The 18,054-nt window shown below is 53.8% G+C and overlaps 2 protein-coding genes across 3 annotated transcripts in view, besides 2 other annotated features; one reads left to right on the top strand and one right to left on the bottom strand.

The window, feature by feature from the left end:
- Positions 2–13,926, top strand: PDAP1 (PDGFA associated protein 1). Its single transcript, NM_014891.7, has 6 exons — positions 2–63; positions 3,646–3,737; positions 5,094–5,201; positions 8,175–8,296; positions 10,586–10,737; positions 11,859–13,926. The coding sequence occupies exons 1-6, from the start codon at positions 51–53 to the stop codon at positions 11,915–11,917; spliced, it is 546 nt and encodes a 181-aa protein (NP_055706.1). The 5' UTR covers positions 2–50; the 3' UTR covers positions 11,918–13,926.
- Positions 174–233: a silencer, noted in NCBI's record as "silent region_18408". NCBI's record gives its function as "represses an Ori minimal core promoter by ATAC-STARR-seq in GM12878 lymphoblastoid cells {active_cell/tissue: GM12878}" and the evidence as "EXISTENCE:reporter gene assay evidence [ECO:0000049][PMID:35858748]".
- Positions 13,783–18,054, bottom strand: part of ARPC1B (actin related protein 2/3 complex subunit 1B) — a 20,558-nt gene continuing 16,286 nt past the window's right edge. For both annotated transcript variants that reach the window (XM_024446628.2, NM_005720.4), the window contains exons 6-10: positions 17,500–17,706; positions 17,346–17,421; positions 15,723–15,928; positions 14,480–14,570; positions 13,783–14,148 (exon numbers count right to left, since the gene is read on the bottom strand). In XM_024446628.2, coding sequence (XP_024302396.1) covers positions 14,110–14,148; positions 14,480–14,570; positions 15,723–15,928; positions 17,346–17,421; positions 17,500–17,706 — 619 coding nt within the window. In that variant the 3' untranslated portion in view covers positions 13,783–14,109. The remainder of the gene's footprint in view (positions 14,149–14,479; positions 14,571–15,722; positions 15,929–17,345; positions 17,422–17,499; positions 17,707–18,054) is intronic.
- Positions 14,092–14,763: an enhancer, noted in NCBI's record as "H3K27ac-H3K4me1 hESC enhancer chr7:98991459-98992130 (GRCh37/hg19 assembly coordinates)". NCBI's record gives its function as "activates a minimal SCP1, AML or CMV promoter by ChIP-STARR-seq in naive H9 embryonic stem cells {active_cell/tissue: H9 hESC(naive)}" and the evidence as "EXISTENCE:reporter gene assay evidence [ECO:0000049][PMID:30033119]".

Raw genomic sequence — 18,054 nt, 5'->3', positions numbered from 1 at the left:
CGGTGTCAGTTCGAGGCGCCGCCGCCGCCGCCGCAGCCGCCGGAGCCGCAATGCCTAAAGGAGGTGAGGGGCGGGCGCCGGTGGCCCGCAGGCCTGGAGGGGCGGCCCAGGTCCGGCTTCCGCTGTCCCCTCAGCCCGTGCGCGTCTCTGAGAGCAGCGCAGAGGGAGGCTGTCCGCACCGGCTGAGAGCCAGGCCTGGGCCTCGACGCCCAATTGTCCCGATGGGGAAACTGAGGACTGTGGTGTCCCAGAGTCACTCCGTCAGTGGTCTGAGGAGTTTCGGAAGCTCTGGGTCCTCGCCGGCCTAGAAAGCCGGATCTAGGATGCGCTTCTCCGGGTCTAGGGGTTCTGGAATTTATCCCACTCTTTGGCTGGCTAGGAACTGAGTCACCGCGTCCCGCGCTTGTGCCGGGCCCGCCTGCCTCTCGCGTAAAACGTGGGCTTTTTCTGGCTTCGGTTCAGCCAGGCCTGCCTAGGAGGACTTAAGGAGATGCCCATGAGCCTTCCAGACCTGGTTTCGACTCCCCCGTTCGGTAGCGGCTCGGTGTGTTCCTTTGAGCCAGTCGCTCCACCTCCTGTGTCTCCGTTTTCTCATTTGCCAATGGGAATAACGATTGTACCTACCTCTTAGTACTGTTGGGAGGCTTCAACTAGGTAATCCACGTGGAGTGCGCAGTACAGTGCCAGGCAGTCGTTAAAAGTGCCCAGTGAAGCAGTAACTATTCTTATTTTTAAGGCTTTGCCAGCTCTTGATCTTGTAAGTAGGTTCATGACTGCCCAGTCCATTGTAGCCCGTCCTCTATCTTCTAGCCCGTTCTCTATCCTGTTTCCCCCTTTAGAATCGATAGTCCCCAGTTTGAATCCCAGCTATGTCACGTCTAATTCTGTGGCCCTGAACAAGTTAACCTCTTCCTCATCTGAAACACTGGGCTAATCCTTAGCTTGTTGAATTGGGGCCGGGGTGGTAAAATTATAGCGCTCATAAAGTGCCTGGCCACCTCCTGGCACAGAACAAATATATTTGTGTTGGTAGCTCATGTGTTATATTGGTTAATGCACTCAACCCACAGAAACATCTGCCTGTAGCGTTTTCAAACCTAAATCGCTTCCTGACTCCAGAGATAATTGGGCATTACAGAGCTAAATGTGTTTAAACCTAGCTCTCTACTGATTTATTCTGTGGCTGGAAAAGTCTCTCTGCTATTGTTCCCCAGTCCCTTCATCTGTAAAAGGAGGTTGCTGAATGAGCCATCCTCCCTCCGAAGTTTTACTTAATGGATACTTTGGGTAAAGGTTGGAGGTTACAACGATAAAACCTTAAATATGAATTCATAGCTAAATGGTCTTTGGGCTTGTGAAAAGCTTTTTGGGGTAGACAAGGTTTACATTTTCTTGGGTTAATCTGAAAACCACAAAAAACCGTGAAGGTGTTAAAAGTATCAAACTCCCTAAGAGCAAAGGACCAACGCTTGTTTCCATTATGTTAAGTGCAAATCGTTTTTTAAAGTCTTGAAGAGTCTACTATAAAATTACTGTGGACCAAGCTAAGGTCAGGGTCCCATAGCCAAGTGCATGAGAGGAGAGCCTATAGTAATCAATTTTGAGTTGTTACTGTTGCCTGGTGTATTAAGAGAGCAAGAAAGGGTGTTGGTTTTTTTCTTGGCACACTTGCTCTCTCACAATAGGACTTTAATAAGCATAGACTTAGACACCCCTGGGAACCTAGGTAGTCATTAAAAATGGGTGGTGTGATCTTTAGCAGCCCAATTATGGCTTTGCAGCTGCTGTAAGGAATCAGAGGAGGCCAGTATCTCTGCTACCGCCTCTGGAGTGCAGAGCAACTCTGGCTGATTACAGAGTCTCTGCTCACAGAGACAGACTATGGAAATCAGGTGGGCCTCAGCTTCCTGTGTGGAAGTTGAGGCCACAGCCACCCTTGCATACTTGGGGACCAGCAGAGGGGGATGCCACCTTGCTTTAAAACTGGCTGATGGCTTAAGCAAGGGTCAGCCTGGTGTTCTGGCTGAAGAGGGTCAGACTATAAAACTGACACTTTAACTGCTAGTCACATTTTTAACTTTTAGACTGTGTAGTCAGGTTTGTTTTCATCTGTACTTTGCCAGTCATTTCTTAGTCTAAGCACAAAGTTTTTGCCTGTAGGTTTGGGTTTCTTTTTTTTCCCTTAAGTATTCTCTTTTTGCCATACTACTAAGGTGAACACAAGGTATTTTATTGTGTTTCCAACATCTGCAGTAAATTGCTTATGTGCTCAGTGGTGCTTTTGTTGTTGTTTTTCCACCAAATACTAGATTAGAGGGAAAAGTAACGAACAGCGATTTTTTTATTTTTTTGAGACGGAGTCTCGCTCTGTGGCCCAGGCTGGAGTGCAGTGGCTCAATCTCGGCTACTGCAACCTCTGCCTCCTGGGTTCAAGCGATTCTCCTTTCTCAGCCTCCCAAGTAGCTGGGATTACAAACATGTGACACCATGCCCAGCTAATTTTTGTATTTTTAGTAGTGAGGGGGTTTCACCATGTTGACCAGGCTGGTCTTGAACTGGCCTCAAGTGATCTGCCCGCCTTGGCCTCCCAAAGTGCTGGGATTACAGGCATCAGCCACTGTGCCTGGATATTAGCGAACATTTTTGTAGTGCTTATTCAGTAGCAGGCACTGTTCCAGCAGCTTTCTGTATATTGATTAATTCATCTATCTTTGTGACAACCCTGTAAGGTAGGGACACAGATGAGGAAACTGAGACTGAGAGGTTAAATACCTGCCCAAAGTCATCAAGCCAGTAAGCGTAGAACCTGGGAGTTGGACTCTAAACTTCGTGGTGTTTCGCAGTCTGCTTTGGTCTAAGTCTCCTGGTCTATGAAATGGGACCAGCTATCACCCCTGTACCATAGGTTTGTTCCGAGGATCAACTGTGCCCCTGGCTGGCTGGGCGCGGTGGCTCACACCTGTAATCCCAGCACTTTGGGAGGCTGAGGTGGGCAGATCACGAGGTCAAGAGATCAAGACCATTCTAGCCAACCAACATGGTTAAACCCCATCTCTACTAAAAATAAATAAATAAGCTGGGCATAGTGGTGCACGCCTGTAGTCCCAGCTACTCGGGAGGCTGAGGCAGGAGAATCACTTCAACCAGGGTGGTGGAGGTTGCGGTGAGCCGAGATTGCGCCACTGCACTCCAGCTTGGGTGACAGAGCGAGACTCCGTCTCAAAAAAAAAAAAAAAAAAGTGCCCCTGGCTGTGACAGAACATCGTGTAAAAAGCCCTTATAGTGACGGCAGGGATGTAAGTGGTACATGTTTCTGTGGTTGCATCTGAGTCCACTATGCTTGGATTGTAAGGGACCAGGGGATGTAGCAAGTCATTGCAGTGCACCGTCCGCCATGTTCTCCCCTCCGGTCTTCTGTGTAGGAGCCAGCATTTAGTACACAGTTTGGTGATGCATCAGATGGTCACGAGTTGCTTCCTGCGTGCCTTTGAACACATGAGGGTGGCGGAGGTGTCGGTTTGGGTGGTGCTGGGTGAGGGGTAGGTGAGGCCTCCGATGAGAGTACTCCAAGCAGGACACAGCCCTCTGGGGGTCAGAGCAGTCAAGGCAGCTGCTTCCGCTCACCTAAACTGCGGGTCTCTGCAGGAAGAAAGGGAGGCCACAAAGGCCGGGCGAGGCAGTATACAAGCCCTGAGGAGATCGACGCGCAGCTGCAGGCTGAGAAGCAGAAGGCCAGGGTGAGTACGTGCCTGTCCAGGCCACGCCAGTGGCCCAGGGTGGCGCTTTGCCAATTTGGTTCATAGAGAGGCCAGGCAAGGACTACCCATTCGCAGGGACAAGCCAGCACGTGGGGGTCGGGCGGGCAGTGAGCCCCAGGTGTGAGTCTCAGAACAACCAATGACAGTCAGGGCGTGGGCATCCTCTGCCTGGATGGGTTAGAAAGAACTGTGGCTGCTCTGCAGCAGCTGCTTTAGTGGGGCCCTGTTCTTGGTCTTGTGCACCTACTTTCAGGAGGATCTCCCTCCTGCAGGACCTGTCCATTCACAGCTCGAGCTCCCAGCACCCCTGCTTGTCTGCTGCAGCCACACAGGATGATTTGCCACACTGCACATGACATATGCCCTGCCTTCCCACACCCCCAGCATCAGCATGCTCTCCATCCCTGGAGACGTTGTTTAGCCTCTCCTCCTCTGTGACTCATGCCTCACCTCCAGCCAGAGCTGATTTAGTAGTTCCCTCTCCTCTGCTCCCATAGTACATTGTCCAGGCCACCGTTAGGAAATAGAATACATTCCCATCGTCAGCATCTGCATCTTACCATATCATTAGATTGATGCCTGGATCAAGGGCCTAAGGGAGCAGTCAGGGCCAGATGGGTACACAGCTGTGACGTACCCCAGGAGTCTCAAGAAGGGAAAGGCCACATCCAGCTGTGGGGTCTGGGAGGGGTCCTTGGGGGAGCCAGCAGCTGAGCAGGACATGGAGAATGTGTGGGCAGGTGCCAAGAGGTGAAGGGACATGAGGTTCCTATAAGGGACATTTTTGGTGGGAAGGCAAGAAAGGTGGAGGGAAGCAGCCTTCCGAGGTGTTGTTCTGGGGAGCTGGTGCAGGAGGTCACCTGTGTGGGTGGGTCGGGGGGATGACTTGCCATGGAGTGGGAGTGGAGTGCGGAGAGGACTCGCCTGGGAATGCCAGCATGATTTGGCAGCTGCATGTGGCAGGTGGGAGCTGAGTAGGATGGTGGTTTTCAGCCTGGTGGCTGAGTCCTTCTGACCCCAGGAAACAAGCTTCTCACCCTGGCTGCTGAGGTGGCTGCGTTAGGAAGGGGAGCAGGGCCTTCTGTGGCTGTGTGAGGGGCTTCCTGGACTATGGGAATGGCCTCTAAGCTGTGGTGCTAAGTGCATAGGCTGCCTGTGTCTGGCCCAGGTCCCATTCCCTGGGGGCCAGGGTCACAGTAGGACCCTTGTCATCCTTGGTTCCAGCCTTCCAGAGGCTTGATTTCTCAAGATCCACAGTCTGGGGGGTGATAGGGTCACAGTCTTGGGGATTTGTTTTGCATTTTTGATTCTGCAGGTTGTCCATTTCTGAAACAGGAAGAAGAGGAGCAAAAAGAAGGTGGAGATGGGGCTGCAGGTGACCCCAAAAAGGAGAAGAAATCTCTAGACTCAGATGAGAGTGAGGATGAAGAAGATGACTACCAGGTACTGAGTTCTTTTGAGGGCCTAGAGCCTGGACTCATTCATTCAACAAACAAACGTTGAGTGACCGTTTAGTACTAGTCCCAAAGGTAGATGCAGACAACGTCCTTGCTCTTGAGGGTTTACACTACGGGAGATACAACAAAGAAGTAAACAGACAGTGTCATTTCAAGTAATGAGAAGTGTTACTAACAAAACAGACTGTGATTGAGGGGACTTGGAAAAGTGTTGTGGTGGTGAAGCAACTTATAAACTGAGATCTGAAAAAACAAGATGCAGCCAGCTATGTGAAAATTGGCGTGCAGAGCAATTGAGAAACTGGATTAGCAAGTGCAAAGGTCCTGTGGTGGGAATAAGCTTGGCATGTTCAAGGACCAGAAGGGGGCCAGTGTAGCTGTGAGTTAGTGGGTAAGGAGCGGAGTGGTCCAGATGCAGGAGGAGAATTGGCAAGGGCACCTCCTGTGTAGCTGTTGAAGGGGTTGGCATTTCTTTTCTTTTCTTTTCTTTTTTTTTTTTTTTTTTGAGATGAAGTGTCGCTTTGTCACTGAGGCTGGAGTGCAGTGGCACGATCTCAGCTCACTGCAACTTCCGCCTCCCAGGTTCAAGCGCTTCTGCCCCAGCCTCCTGAGTAGCTGGGACTACAGGCGCCTGCCACCACGCCGGGCTAATTTTTTGTATTTTTAGTAGAGACAGGGTTTCACTGTGTTAGCCAGAATGGTCTCCATCTCCTGACCTCGTGATCCACCCGCATCAGCCTCCCAAAGTACTGGGATTATAAGCGTGAGCCACTAGCCCAGCCCCCTTTTTTTTTTTTTTTTTTTTTTTTTGAGACAGGGTCTCGTTCTGTCACCCAGGCTGGAGTGGAGTGAAGCTGCAGTGAAGCACCGCAGCCTCAGCCTTCCAAGTAGCTGGGACCAAAGGCACACGCCACCACATCTACCTAATTTTTAAATTTTTTGTAGAGATAGGGATCTCACTATATTGCCCAGGTGGTCTCCAACTCCTGGGCTCAAGTAATCCTCCCACTTCACCCTCCTGAGGTGTTGAGATTGCAGCAGCATGAGCCACCATGCCTGGCATGGGGTTTCTTTATGGTAGGTAGTGGCAGCTGGGGGAGGCCTTGAAGGGATTGAGAGACATGACCAGATATGCTTTTTTTTTTTTTTTTTTTTGGGAGATGGAGTCTCTCTGTCGCCCAGGCTGGAGTGCAGTGGTGCGATCTCGGCTCACTGCAAGCTCCGCCTCCCGGGTTCAGGCCATTCTTCTGCCTCAGCCTTCCGAATAGCTGGGACTACCGTAGAGGTAGCGTTTCACCATGTCAGCCAGGATGGTCTCAATCTCCTGACCTCGTGATCTGCCTGCCTTGGCCTCTCAAAGGGCTGGGATTACAGGCGTGAGCCACTGCGCCCAGCCTCCAGATATGCTTTTAAAAGATTATTTTACTTTGGGAAGCCAAGGTGGGTGGATCACAAGGTCAGGAGATCGAGACCATCCTGGCTAACACAGTGAAACCCCGTCTCTACTAAAAATACAAAAATTAGCCAGGTGTGGTGGCAGGCGCCTGTAGTCCCAGCTACTTGGGAGGCTGAGGCAGGAGAATGGCGTGAACCCGGGAGGCGGAGTGCAGTGAGCCAAGACTATGCCACTGCACTCCAGCCTGGGCGACAGAGTGAGACTCCGTCTCAAAAAAAAAAAAAAAAGATTATTTTAGCTTCTTCATGGAGAGTGAATGATAGGATGTTGAGAGTAAGAGCAGTGTTCAGATCAGAAATCCTGGGCCGGGTGTGGTGGCTCACACCTGTAATCCCAGCACTTTGGGAGGCCAAGGCGGGCGGATCACCTGAGGTCGAGATTTCGAGACCAGCCTGACCAACATGGAGAAAACCTGTCTCTACTAAAAATACAAAATTAGTCGGGGGTGGTGGTTCATGCCTGTAATCCCAAATACTCAGGCTGAGGCAGGAGAATTGCTTGAACCCAGGAGACCGAGGTTGTGGTGAGCCGAGATTGTGCCATTGCCCTCCAGCCTGGGCAAGAAGAGGGAAACTCTGTCTCAAAAGAAAAAAAATCGTGGCTTGCCCTAGGATGGTGACAATGGCAGTGGAGAAGAGTGGACAAATTTAAGCTGTATTTGGGGGTTGCTGAAGGAACGACGAATCAAGGATATGCTTAGGATTGCAGGGAGGGTCCGGTTGGGTAAAGGATGAATCTCGAGTTCTGTCTTGGACATGTTAAGTTTACAGTGCCAGGCATCTGAGTGGAGGTGTAAGTGTGCAGCTGGACTGGAAGTGTGTGGAGGGAGCTCTGTGGAGTGGAAGCTGTCTCCCTGCCCCCTTAAGGAGAATTGATGGAATTGACAGGGCCTGAAACTTTGACCAAACCTGCTGCATTGAGAACACACCCCCTTCTTCTGGAACTTCTGCAGGGGAGGTGGAAGGTGCAGATTCCAGGTTTTTGGGCCAGCGTCCCAAACCTGTAGAGTGTGTGATCCAGTAGCTTATTCTTGGGTTACAAGTCCAGTCCATCAGCTAAGGTGGGTGGGAATTGGAATTAGTCATGACAGCACACACTTGGCCCACCCTGCCCTGGGGATTCCAGCCCAGCGCTTTTTGCAAGAAGAATCAGGCATGGGATTCCATGGAAAACTGCTTTTGGAAGCCGAGCTTGAAGTAGGGGAGTAGTGCTGTGTGAGTGCTTGCAAGTCGGGGTAGGGCGCACCTCTCATCTACCACCTACTTCCTGGTTGACTTGGGCAAGTTATTCGACCCCGAGCAGCCGTTCTGTGGGCTCTTCCCAGGCTGATGAAGATGCTCCAGAGAGCTATACCCACTGTGAGACTTGGGCTGAGCACTACGTGGGCTGGGGTGGAGCAGGAGTTTGTCCTCATCCAGATGGGCTGTTGAGAGATGGCAGGAGTGGCCCTCAGGGGCTCCACAGGACCTGAACTCCAACAACCAGCTTCTTGCCCTGTTCTAGCAAAAGCGCAAAGGCGTTGAAGGGCTCATCGACATCGAGAACCCCAACCGGGTGGCACAGACAACCAAAAAGGTCACACAACTGGATCTGGACGGGCCAAAGGAGCTTTCGAGGAGAGAACGGTAACATCACTGGCTGGGCCTTGTGTCACGGGGAATACAGGCCAGCAGTTGGCCTGTGGGATGCTAAGGTCCCCAGCTGGCTGGGAGCTGTGGCTGTTTATTTCTGTCTCATTCCCCAATGGCCCTCCAGTAGCCTTTAAAAAGCCACACAGAATTTGTTTTCACCAATTGATACATGATATCAGGGGAAATAGGACAACAGGCTCAGACCTGAGCATAACACTTGAGGTAATGGTGCAGGATACAGAGGGTTGCCCTCCATTCCCCTCTTCCAGAGCACCACACCCTGGGGAGACTTCCCTTACCCCACTGATCTGACCATTCCTGACCTGCATCCATCTGTAATGTCGTGGCCATGGGGACTGGAAGGGGGCTGCGAGCCTGTGCCGGCCAGAAGGCAGTCCAGCCCAGCGCAGCTCAGCCAGCTGTCCCAGGCCTCTGCAAGTCCTGTGTGAAAATGAAGCTGTAAATATCTTCCTCAAGAGTCGTATGAGGATCAAGATCATGTACTGAAGTGCCTGGCACAGGATCAGTCCTTGACTGGTGCCCTGACTTTTGGCAGCCACCAGGTGACCTCAAGGGCCTTACAAGAGGTTGAAGCCTGCTAGTTTCTCTCCTGACTGGGAATTTAGGATAATGGCTGAGGGGTGTGTCTGTGAAAGCCTCGTGGGGAAGGCCATGAGCTTGGGTGTGATTGCAGCTGCTAAGGACCCTTCTGTCCCCCTTCAGTAGCTTCCTCTTGGCATTGACTTCAAAAACCCAGCAACCTGGGTGTTCTGCCACTGTGGTATTCTGCCATTGGCAGCTGTGCAGCCTTCGATAAGGCTGTGCCTTTCTGGGCATCAGTGTCCTCTCCAGTAAAAGGGATCCTGTTGCTCCCTCCTTCTGTCCTTTGGGGTTGCAGAGACACCCTGCCTGGCATTTTGCTTTCACTGAAGGGCCCTGCAGAGTCTTTGGGCTGCCTTAGTCATCATTCCTGAGGCTCAGCTTAGAGGCTTCTGAGTGTGGCACATCCCTCCTGAGCTAGGATCTGCGGTTCGCCAGGTATTATCTCCTCAGCTCTGTAGTGAGGCATCTGCTCTTCCCACTCGGGAGTCCCTCTCCCTCCCCTCTAGCTAGCTCCCATGCCTGGTTTCTCATTACTCCCCAGTTCTGTGTACCTTGAAGGCCTCTGGGAGGCCGAGTCTCTCTCCCAGCCTCCTGCCAGGCAGGGCCCTCCCCTCCTCCAGCACTTGGCTCTTCCAGGAACCCAGTGCAAATAGGCCCTCCGATCTCATCCTGAAGGGCATCCACTCCAGTTCAGAATCTCAAGCTTGGGAAGATCCTCAAAAGGAAGCTAATGACCCTCACCACTGACTCTACTTAGGGGGTTCATTCCTGACACTTTGTCCCATGGGAGCCCAGCAATTATTCCCATCTCCCTACTGATGGGGGCTGTCCCCTTGGGGGGCAGCACCGTGCACATCTGAGCTGCTCTAAGAATGGGCCATGTGGTGTTGACCTGAGACTGGGTGTGTCTGTTTCCCACTGTGGTCCTCATCCTATGCCCTGTGGCTGCTTCCTCCACTTCTTCATTCCTTTTTTTGTTTGTATTTTTTAGAGATAGGATTTCACTCTGTCACCCAGGCTGGAGTGCAGTGGTGCAATTGTAGCTCACTGCAGCCTTGAACTTCTGGGCTCAAGCAATCCGCCTGCCTCAGCCTCCCATGTAGCTGGGAGCCATGCTGCCTTAGCCATGTGTGCCACCACACCTGGCTAATTTTTAAATTTTCTATTTTGTACAGAGTCTTGCTATATTGCCCAGGCAGGTCTCAAACTTACAGCCTCAAGTGATCCTCTTGTCTTGGCCTCCCAGAGTGCTGGGATTACAGGCCTGAGCCACCATGCCCAGCCCTTCCTTCCTTGTAGGATGTGGTCCCCACTGCTTTCATCCTCCTGGTCATCTTCTCTGGAACACTCTTGGCCTGGTCCCCCTTCTCTCCATGGCCGCCAGAGCCTGATCATGAAGCCCTCAGGCATCTTCCCCTCCCTGCTGTAGCTGGACATTGTCCCCTTTCCCTCTGAGGCTTTCTGGACATCGCAGATGTTTTCTCCCTGGGCCTCTCCCTCCTGCTCACTTGCTTGGTGAACGTCCACCAAGCAGGGGGTTCATGGAGGCAGGGACTCACAGCCAGGGCACCCCTTCCACCTCGGCCCTAGGCCGAATCCTTGGCCTTTATTCTGACTCCCGTCCAGTTTGGCAAACAGTGGTAGGAAAGATGTCCCCATGACACCATTTTATCCACACAGAGAAGAGATTGAGAAGCAGAAGGCAAAAGAGCGTTACATGAAAATGCACTTGGCCGGGAAGACAGAGCAAGCCAAGGCTGACCTGGCCCGGCTGGCCATCATCCGGAAACAGCGGGAGGAGGCTGCCCGGAAGAAGGAAGAGGAAAGGAAAGGTAAGGGCTGGGCTGCGCACGCAGGGACAGGCCCCAACTCTGGTCCTGGGCCAGCCACAAAGCACTGAACTCGTGTCCCTGTCCGCGAGGTGACAATGAGGTGAGGAGTGACTGCTGCCTAGGAGGTCGTTCAGGAGAGGGCCACCCTCCCTGTGCCTGCCACTCCCTCGGGGACCAGGAGGGTCCAGCGACATCATGGGGTCGGATGTAGGTTGAAGTCTCAGCAGAGCACCGTCCACAGTAGGTGGACAGTCACTCCTGCTCCCAACAGCGGGAGGTCACAGGAAACCATGCCCCTAGTACAGACCTTGCCTGAGGCTCACAGGTCCCACTAAGGTCTCTGGTGCCTTGGGAACCCAGGAGAGATGCCTGAGGTCACCGCTGTCCATCTGCAGGGCTTGGGAGGGTGAGCTGGATACACAGCAGTGCAGACTGGCTTGACATCCAGCCCAGGCATCCCTTTTCCTGTGCTCTCCCCTCCAGGCAGGCCAGAGATGGTGGAGGTTCCTCTAGGCCAGAGTGGCTATGGGAGTTGGTCCAGTTTATAGGAGCATTCAACTTGCAACATTCCATCTCCCGGGGGTCTGTGAGAGCCCCTACATGTCCATCTGTCCTGCCTCCTCACCAGACCATGAGGAAGCAGGCCTGGAAAGGGGAAACCAATTGCTCAGGGACATTGTCACCCGCACCAGAAATCCAGTGATCCCAACTTCCCATTCAACCCTGCTTCACAAACCCCAAGCAGGAAAGGACTTCACATGTAACTGTTGGAATGTTTAAATTTTAGACTTCAGAACCCGTGGAGGGAGGTTAGAATTACAGGGTTCTGCTGGGAGGTGGGGTGAGAAGTTTCCGTTTGCCCACAAGAGTGTGTGTTGGTGGGGCTTTGTGGAAGGAACAGCTTTCTATAAGGTGGTCTGGCCACTGAAGCGTGTCGGGAATGTCGGGGGGCCCGGGGTTACAGCTGCAGCAGAAATCCTCTCCCACGCCTCGGCTCTTCTCTGTTGCACAGAATGTTTTCTGCAGCCTTTCAGACCTAAAGTTCTAGGGTTCTGGCACGTGTGTTGGGAGGGGGTGGGGGGTTGCTTTGTTTTAACCCCTGCCCTTCTCCCACCCCTCAGCAAAAGACGATGCCACATTGTCAGGAAAACGAATGCAGTCACTCTCCCTGAATAAGTAACTGCGACCCGTGGGAGGAGATGCCGGGGACCTGGGCCGCGCTGCCAGGACCTCTGCTGTGTCTCGCCCACCCTGTGCCCTGGCGCCGCTGCAACAGCCCCTCATGGCCAGGAGCCCCCCATGGCCTGGGGCCTCCTCTTCATCTTGGCACAGAAATTGTTTGGGGGATGGGGGGGGGGACTGGGGGAGGGGTAGCTGCTATCTTTGAGACAGAAAGATGCAGGACAGCATTTCATATGTAACCATTTGAATGTTTTTGCTGTTTTTAGAATTCAGAGCCCTTGCTGGGGGGTGCCTGGGAGATGGGGTAAGAAGAGCTTTCATTTGTCTGGTAGATAGATAGCATGTAAGGGGGTGGTTGTCCCAGGAGGCAGCTGCTGACAGGTTTGCTACACACAGCCCCGGACTGTGTTGCCTGGGTGCTCATTCAGAGAGGGGCTATCATCTGGGAGCCTGTGCCCCTGGGTCCTCGAGGGTCATGGCTTGTCCCTGGTCAGTCCTGTCTGACTGACCTCAGGGCCTCACCTCTCTGCCCTTCCCTGCCCGGTTCCTACTCACCTGGCTAGGGCCAGTGCCCATTTTCAGCCCTACCCATTGATCATTTCAAGAAACCTCTGTTTACTGTGTGGCACCCAGGCAAAACATGCTCCACAAATTCAACTTGTATATTTGGCAGATTAAACTTGACATTATCGTAATCTTTGTTTTGGCAATCCATCCTTTGGCTTCCGTGCTCGAGCCGTTTTTACCCAGCTGGGTACGGTGCCACGTTCAGGCACGTGCACCCGGCAAGGTTCAGGGCACATACCTACCTGGGGCATGACATCTGTCAGGTGGCACCGAGCAGGATGCGGGGATGGACCCTAGATACCACAGCCTGCCCCCTCCCCTCCTTTAGCCAAGTCAGGATCTTAGGCCTCAGCAGGCAGGGACCCTTCCAGGCCACAGTAGGCTGAAGCAGCACCAGGATCCTGGCCTGGCCTGGCCTGTAGGTGTCCCCTGGTGGTTATAATTCTGTAACTCTAGGGGAGAAGGGGAATAGCACTAGCATTGGATGTCGCCAAGGCCCACATTTTCCTGAGAGAAGCCACAAAAGATGTGCAAATGCCCTTCAGCACAGGACCTGGTGACATGACATAAACTCCAAGACAGAACCTCAGTTTACAGCACACGAAAAAAATATCTTGCCAACATTGTAATGACAAAATAAATTCCCGTGAAGTTCCACAACCAGGCCGGGCATGGTGGCTCATGCCTGTAATCCCAGCACTTTGGGAGGTGAGGTGGGTGGATCATCTGAGGTCAGGAGTTCAAGACCAGCCTGGCCAACATGGAGAAACTCCGTCTCTACTAAAAATACAAAAATTAACCAGGCTTGGTGGTGTATGCCTGTAATCCCAGCTACTTGGGAGGCTGAGGCAGGAGAATCGCTTGATCCCAGGAAGGCAGAGGTGGCAGTGAGCTGAGAACGCACAACTGCACTCCAGCCTGGGTGACGAGCAAAACTCCATCTCAAAACAAAAGTTCCACAACCAGCCTGGAGTGTGTAGCCCCTTTGTCCAGGAATTTGACTAGTCAATCAGTGACACCTGGTACTGGCAGTTTTGGGAGTGGCAGCCCAGGATGGACAGCAGTGGGGAGGGAACCATTTGGCATAAGGCCGTTGGGCTTCAGGATCAATTTTGTTGGCAAGCAGTAAAAATAAGCTATCTACCTATGGCCGTGCAAACACCAATCTCTCCCTGGAGTCCCAGCTACTTGGGAGGCTGAGGCAGAAGGATTGCTCCCACGAGTTCTAGTGCAGCCTGGAAAACTTAGCAAGACCCCAAGGAAATAACAAAAAACCTCTCCTTCCACATAGGCAAGCATGTCCATAATTACTTTTTTTTTTTTTTTTTTTTTTACACAGTTGCATTTTATTACCTCCACATTTTGAAGCAGTTCATGACCAGCATAGTGCTTTGGGGGCATTTTTTTTTTTTTTCAATAAATGAAAGCATTTAAGAAAAAGGCACGTATTCCTTGAATAGGTAAGAAAAGCTCCCCATCTGTCCCCTCCCTTTTTGAGGGAGCAGCCCCTATGGGAACTCGTATTGGTACCCCAGAAACATTCAGCAAAGCAACCATTAGCCTCCCTGACCCCTCTCCCCGCTTCCCCAGCAGCTAGGATGAAGGCAACATATTCCTCACAGGTCATTTGATCTTGAGGTCCTTCAAGGCTGACTCCAAGCTCTGCAGGGAGGCAGAACGGACAGGCTGGTTCTCAGCTGTCCTGCAGGCACCCCACTCCCAGGGACCTGATCACCCATCTCAGCCCCAGCACAGCAGAGGGCAGAGAACCTGCAGTTTTGGAGTCTGTCAGCTGGGTTGGAATCCCGGCCCTGAAGACGGGTGCCCCAGTGAGCACCAAGGCCCAGATGTCAAGGGGCCGCCCCCACCCCTCATCCCCATGCAGTGCCATCTCTGCAGGAGTGAAGGATGGGGGTCATCTCCAGGGAGTGGGGATGGGGGGAAAGGGTTGACCTGGGAGGCATGGCGGGAAGCCAGGAGGGGCAAGCCTCACCTTCACATCCCAGATACTCATGCCGCCATCCATGCCAGTGGTGCAGAACTGCGAGCACTTGGCCTTGCCGCCGCTGAGCACCGAGATCTGGCTGCAAAGAGGAAGAGGAGCTTATGAATTCAACCTGTGCTGGCGCTGGGCTCAGGCCCACCCTGTCCACCAGGCGCTCCCAGACTTCTTGGGGAGCGGGCTTTAGTGAGAAGTACCGAGGGGGTGTAGTGGGCTTAGAAGTCAGTTCTGCCTTGGGGACAGTGGCATGCGAGGTGCAGGCAAATGGGACAGGACACTCAAGTCCTGGGAGGCAGGAAAGACACGTGTGTCTGCGGAGTGTACACAGTGCCAGCAGTGCAGCTGGACAGGACAAAAAAGGAGATGGGGGTGGGGGCAGCCAGGGACTAAGCTGATAGCTGGACAAAGGTGTTTCATCTGAGGAAGCCATCGGATCTGGCGGACACAGGAGGTTTTACAGACCGAAGGGCTTGGCCAGTCTTGCCATACAGCTCCCGCTCCCTCTGATTCGCCGCGGGGTGGACACGTGTGGCTGGCAGCTTTTGGGCTTTGAAGAGCCTCTTCCCCATCCCACCCTAGATCCATAGAAGGCTGCGGAGAGACCCTCAGCTCCGCCCCCACCTCGCTAAGTGCTAGCAATAGACCCGCCCCAGCTGTGACCCCGCCCAGGAAGCCCGCTGGTCACTGCCTGGCCACCCCAGAGAACCGTAGGGGCCAGCCCTACGACAGTCCCCACCTAAGTCCCGGAAATGCAGAGCGAGGCTAGCTGCTCAGCCCCATCTGATGCTATTTTTATGCAACCTAAAGAGGTCGACCCCGTCTTATGTCGGTCGCACCGTGTCCCTCCCAGGCTCCACTAGCACCTGGGCTGCTATGGTGAGATCAAGATGGGCCCCGCCCACAACTAACGATGTTATTCCGCAGCGAGTCAAAGCCACTCCCTACCCTGGGCCCGCTACGCGACCTCTGCCGGCCTCCGCCCCACGCGGTTTTAGTACGGCGCCAAGGCCCCGCCCACAAATCGGCCCCGTCCCCTCGTGTCCGGGCCCGCCGCTCATCAGACGCCGTTCCGGCGCAGCGAGTTGAGGGCACGCCTACCCTCCCTCCGGGTCCCCAGTCCTCAAGGTCCCAGCACAATGCCCCAGGAGGAAGACTCCAGGCCCCTTCCTCACCCGACGCTGTTTCTGGGCGAGCCGAGGCCCCGCCCACCCGCCGGCCCGGCTCCCGCTCTCACCTGACGCTGTTCTTGTGCAGCGAGTCTAGGCCCGCGCCCGCAGCCGTGCCACCCTCGGAGCTCGCCTTCTTGTCCAGGTTCTGGAAGCGCTCGCGGGCCGTCAAGCCACGCTGCGAGCTCTGCTTAGGAACGTCCAGCCGCCCGCCGAAGCTCAGCATCCCCGCGGCGGCGTCATAGGTGAACAGCACCGGGAAGCAGTCGTGGCCCTGCGCGGAGGGCGGGGGCCATTGGAGCGCCGCGGAGGGGAAACCGAGGCCGGAGGGAAGGCCAGGCGGGCGTCTGGCCGCCCGGGAGGCAGATGCCAGCTCAAGGATACAGACGGGCCACAGCGAGGGAGGCCCGAATTGCAGGTGTATCAAAACCGGGGGTGATGCTGGGGGCTGCCACCTCCCCCAGCAAGGCCAGCGTTGGGACTCCCTGGGAGCTCAGGCGCCTTCTGTCCTGCCCAGCCAGTTACACCTGCTCTAGGGGAGACCCCTGCAGCTGTTTGCTTTTCTAGGCAAAAAGCAAGCCTGACCTGGCCCTGGCACCCCCATTATGTTTGCAGAGGGGTGAAAAGGGACTTGACAGATGTGGGCGGAGGGGAGGGAGAGCAGTGCCCTTCCTGGACACCTGGAGGAACCGCACACCCCGAACTCTCGCCCTTTGCATTAGGCGTGGCCTTGCCATTGCACCTGCCAATAAAATGTGGGCAGAAATGTTAAGACCCAGGGCATGATTCCGCAGGTTCCGGCTCCCTCGTGGCATCTGGGACAGCATGCTGGGGACAGCTTCCATCAGAGCACCTCACAACACCCACACTGGACATAAAATGTGAGCAAGAAGTAAATATCTTTTTTTTTCTGTTTTTGAGATGGAGTCTCGGTGGCTCACCCTTGGCTCACTGCAACTTCTGCCTCTGGGTTCAAGCAATTCTCCTGCCTCAGCCTCCCGAGCAGCTGGGACCATGGGCGCCCACCACCACACCCGGCTAATTTTTGTATTTTTAGTAGAGATGGGGTTTTGCCATGTTGGCCAGGTTGGTCTTGAACCCCTGACCTCAGGTGATCTGCCCTCCTTGGCCTCCCAAATTGCTGGGATTACAGGTGTGAGCCACCGGGCCTGGCTCTTTTTTTTTTTTTTTTGAGACAGGTTTTGTGTCGCCGAGGCTGAAGTGCAGAGGTACGACCATAGCTCAGTTCAGAAGCCTCGACCTCCCATGCTTAAGTTATCCTCCTGCCTCAGCCTCCCAAGTAACTGGGATTATGAGATTACAGGTGCACCACCACACCCAGCTAATTTCTTAACTTTTTGTAGAGACAAGGGTCTCACACTGTGTTGCCCGGGCTGGTCTCAAACTCGTGGCCTCCAGTGATACTTCCACCTCAACCTCGCAAAGTGCTGGGATTTTAAGTGTGAGCCACCGCACCTGGCCAAATCTTTACTCTGTTAAGCAACTGCAGCCAGGGACTTTTGGTTACTGCAGCATAACCCAACCTGTTCTGCCCAATTCTGGTACATGAGAGAATGCAAGGAAGAAAAAAAGGAGGGAGGCAGGAGAAAGGAGGGAGGAGATGAGAGTTGCTGGGCTCTCTCGGAGGCCTGCTGTGACCACACACCCTCCCTCCCCTCCCTATTCCTCACCGCTGCCACCAGGCTGTTGTCTGTGATGAAGGTCAGCGCCAGCAGTGGTAGTGTTTCAGAGGCCAGAGTCGCGACGCTGAGGGGAGAGAGCTGTGAGTCACGGTGTCCCACTCCTCTGCACTCACCTCCTCCCCTGGGGATGGCCTCGACTCACGCCATCTTCTTGTCGGCATCAGCCAGGCAGACGGTGCTGTCGTGGCTTACCCAGGCCACGCGGCTCCCGCTGGCTGAGAAACAGACGCCATGTACCCAGCCGCAGCTACTGCTGGATTCGAACATCAGTTCCCCAAAGGGCATCTTGGAGCCCCACGGGGTGGGTGCCGGCCGTTCCTCCACCTCCTTGATGTAGGCTGAAAAGATCCTACCGGGATAGGCAAAGTAGAGGTAAAGTAGCCAGGCATGGTGGTGCGCACCTGTACTCTCAGCTACTCAGGAGGCTGAGGCGGGAGGATTGCTTGAACCCAGGAGGTCAAGGCTGCAGTGAGCTGTGATTGCGCTACTGTGCTCCAGTTTGGGCAACAGAGTGAGACTGTCTCAAAAAAAAAAAAAAATTTTTTTTAAAGGGTTAACAGGTGCCTGGGCATGGTGGCTGAAGCTTGTAATCCCAGCACTTTGGGAGGCTGAGGCAGATGCATCACTTGAAGTCAGGGGTTCGAGACCAGTCTGGCCAACATGGTGAAAACCCGTCTCTACATTTAAAAATACAAAA

This window comes from Homo sapiens, chromosome 7 (assembly GCF_000001405.40).
Source record: "Homo sapiens chromosome 7, GRCh38.p14 Primary Assembly".
Lineage (NCBI taxonomy): Eukaryota > Metazoa > Chordata > Mammalia > Primates > Hominidae > Homo > Homo sapiens.
This window is presented reverse-complemented; position numbering and strand designations above follow the sequence as displayed.

Excerpts from the sequence above, each read along its gene's own strand:
- PDAP1 (NM_014891.7), top strand. Across the intron at positions 3,738-5,093 it reads CTGAGAAGCAGAAGGCCAGG|GAAGAAGAGGAGCAAAAAGA; the intron begins GTGAGTACGTGC and ends TTTCTGAAACAG. Across the intron at positions 5,202-8,174 it reads ATGAAGAAGATGACTACCAG|CAAAAGCGCAAAGGCGTTGA; the intron begins GTACTGAGTTCT and ends GCCCTGTTCTAG.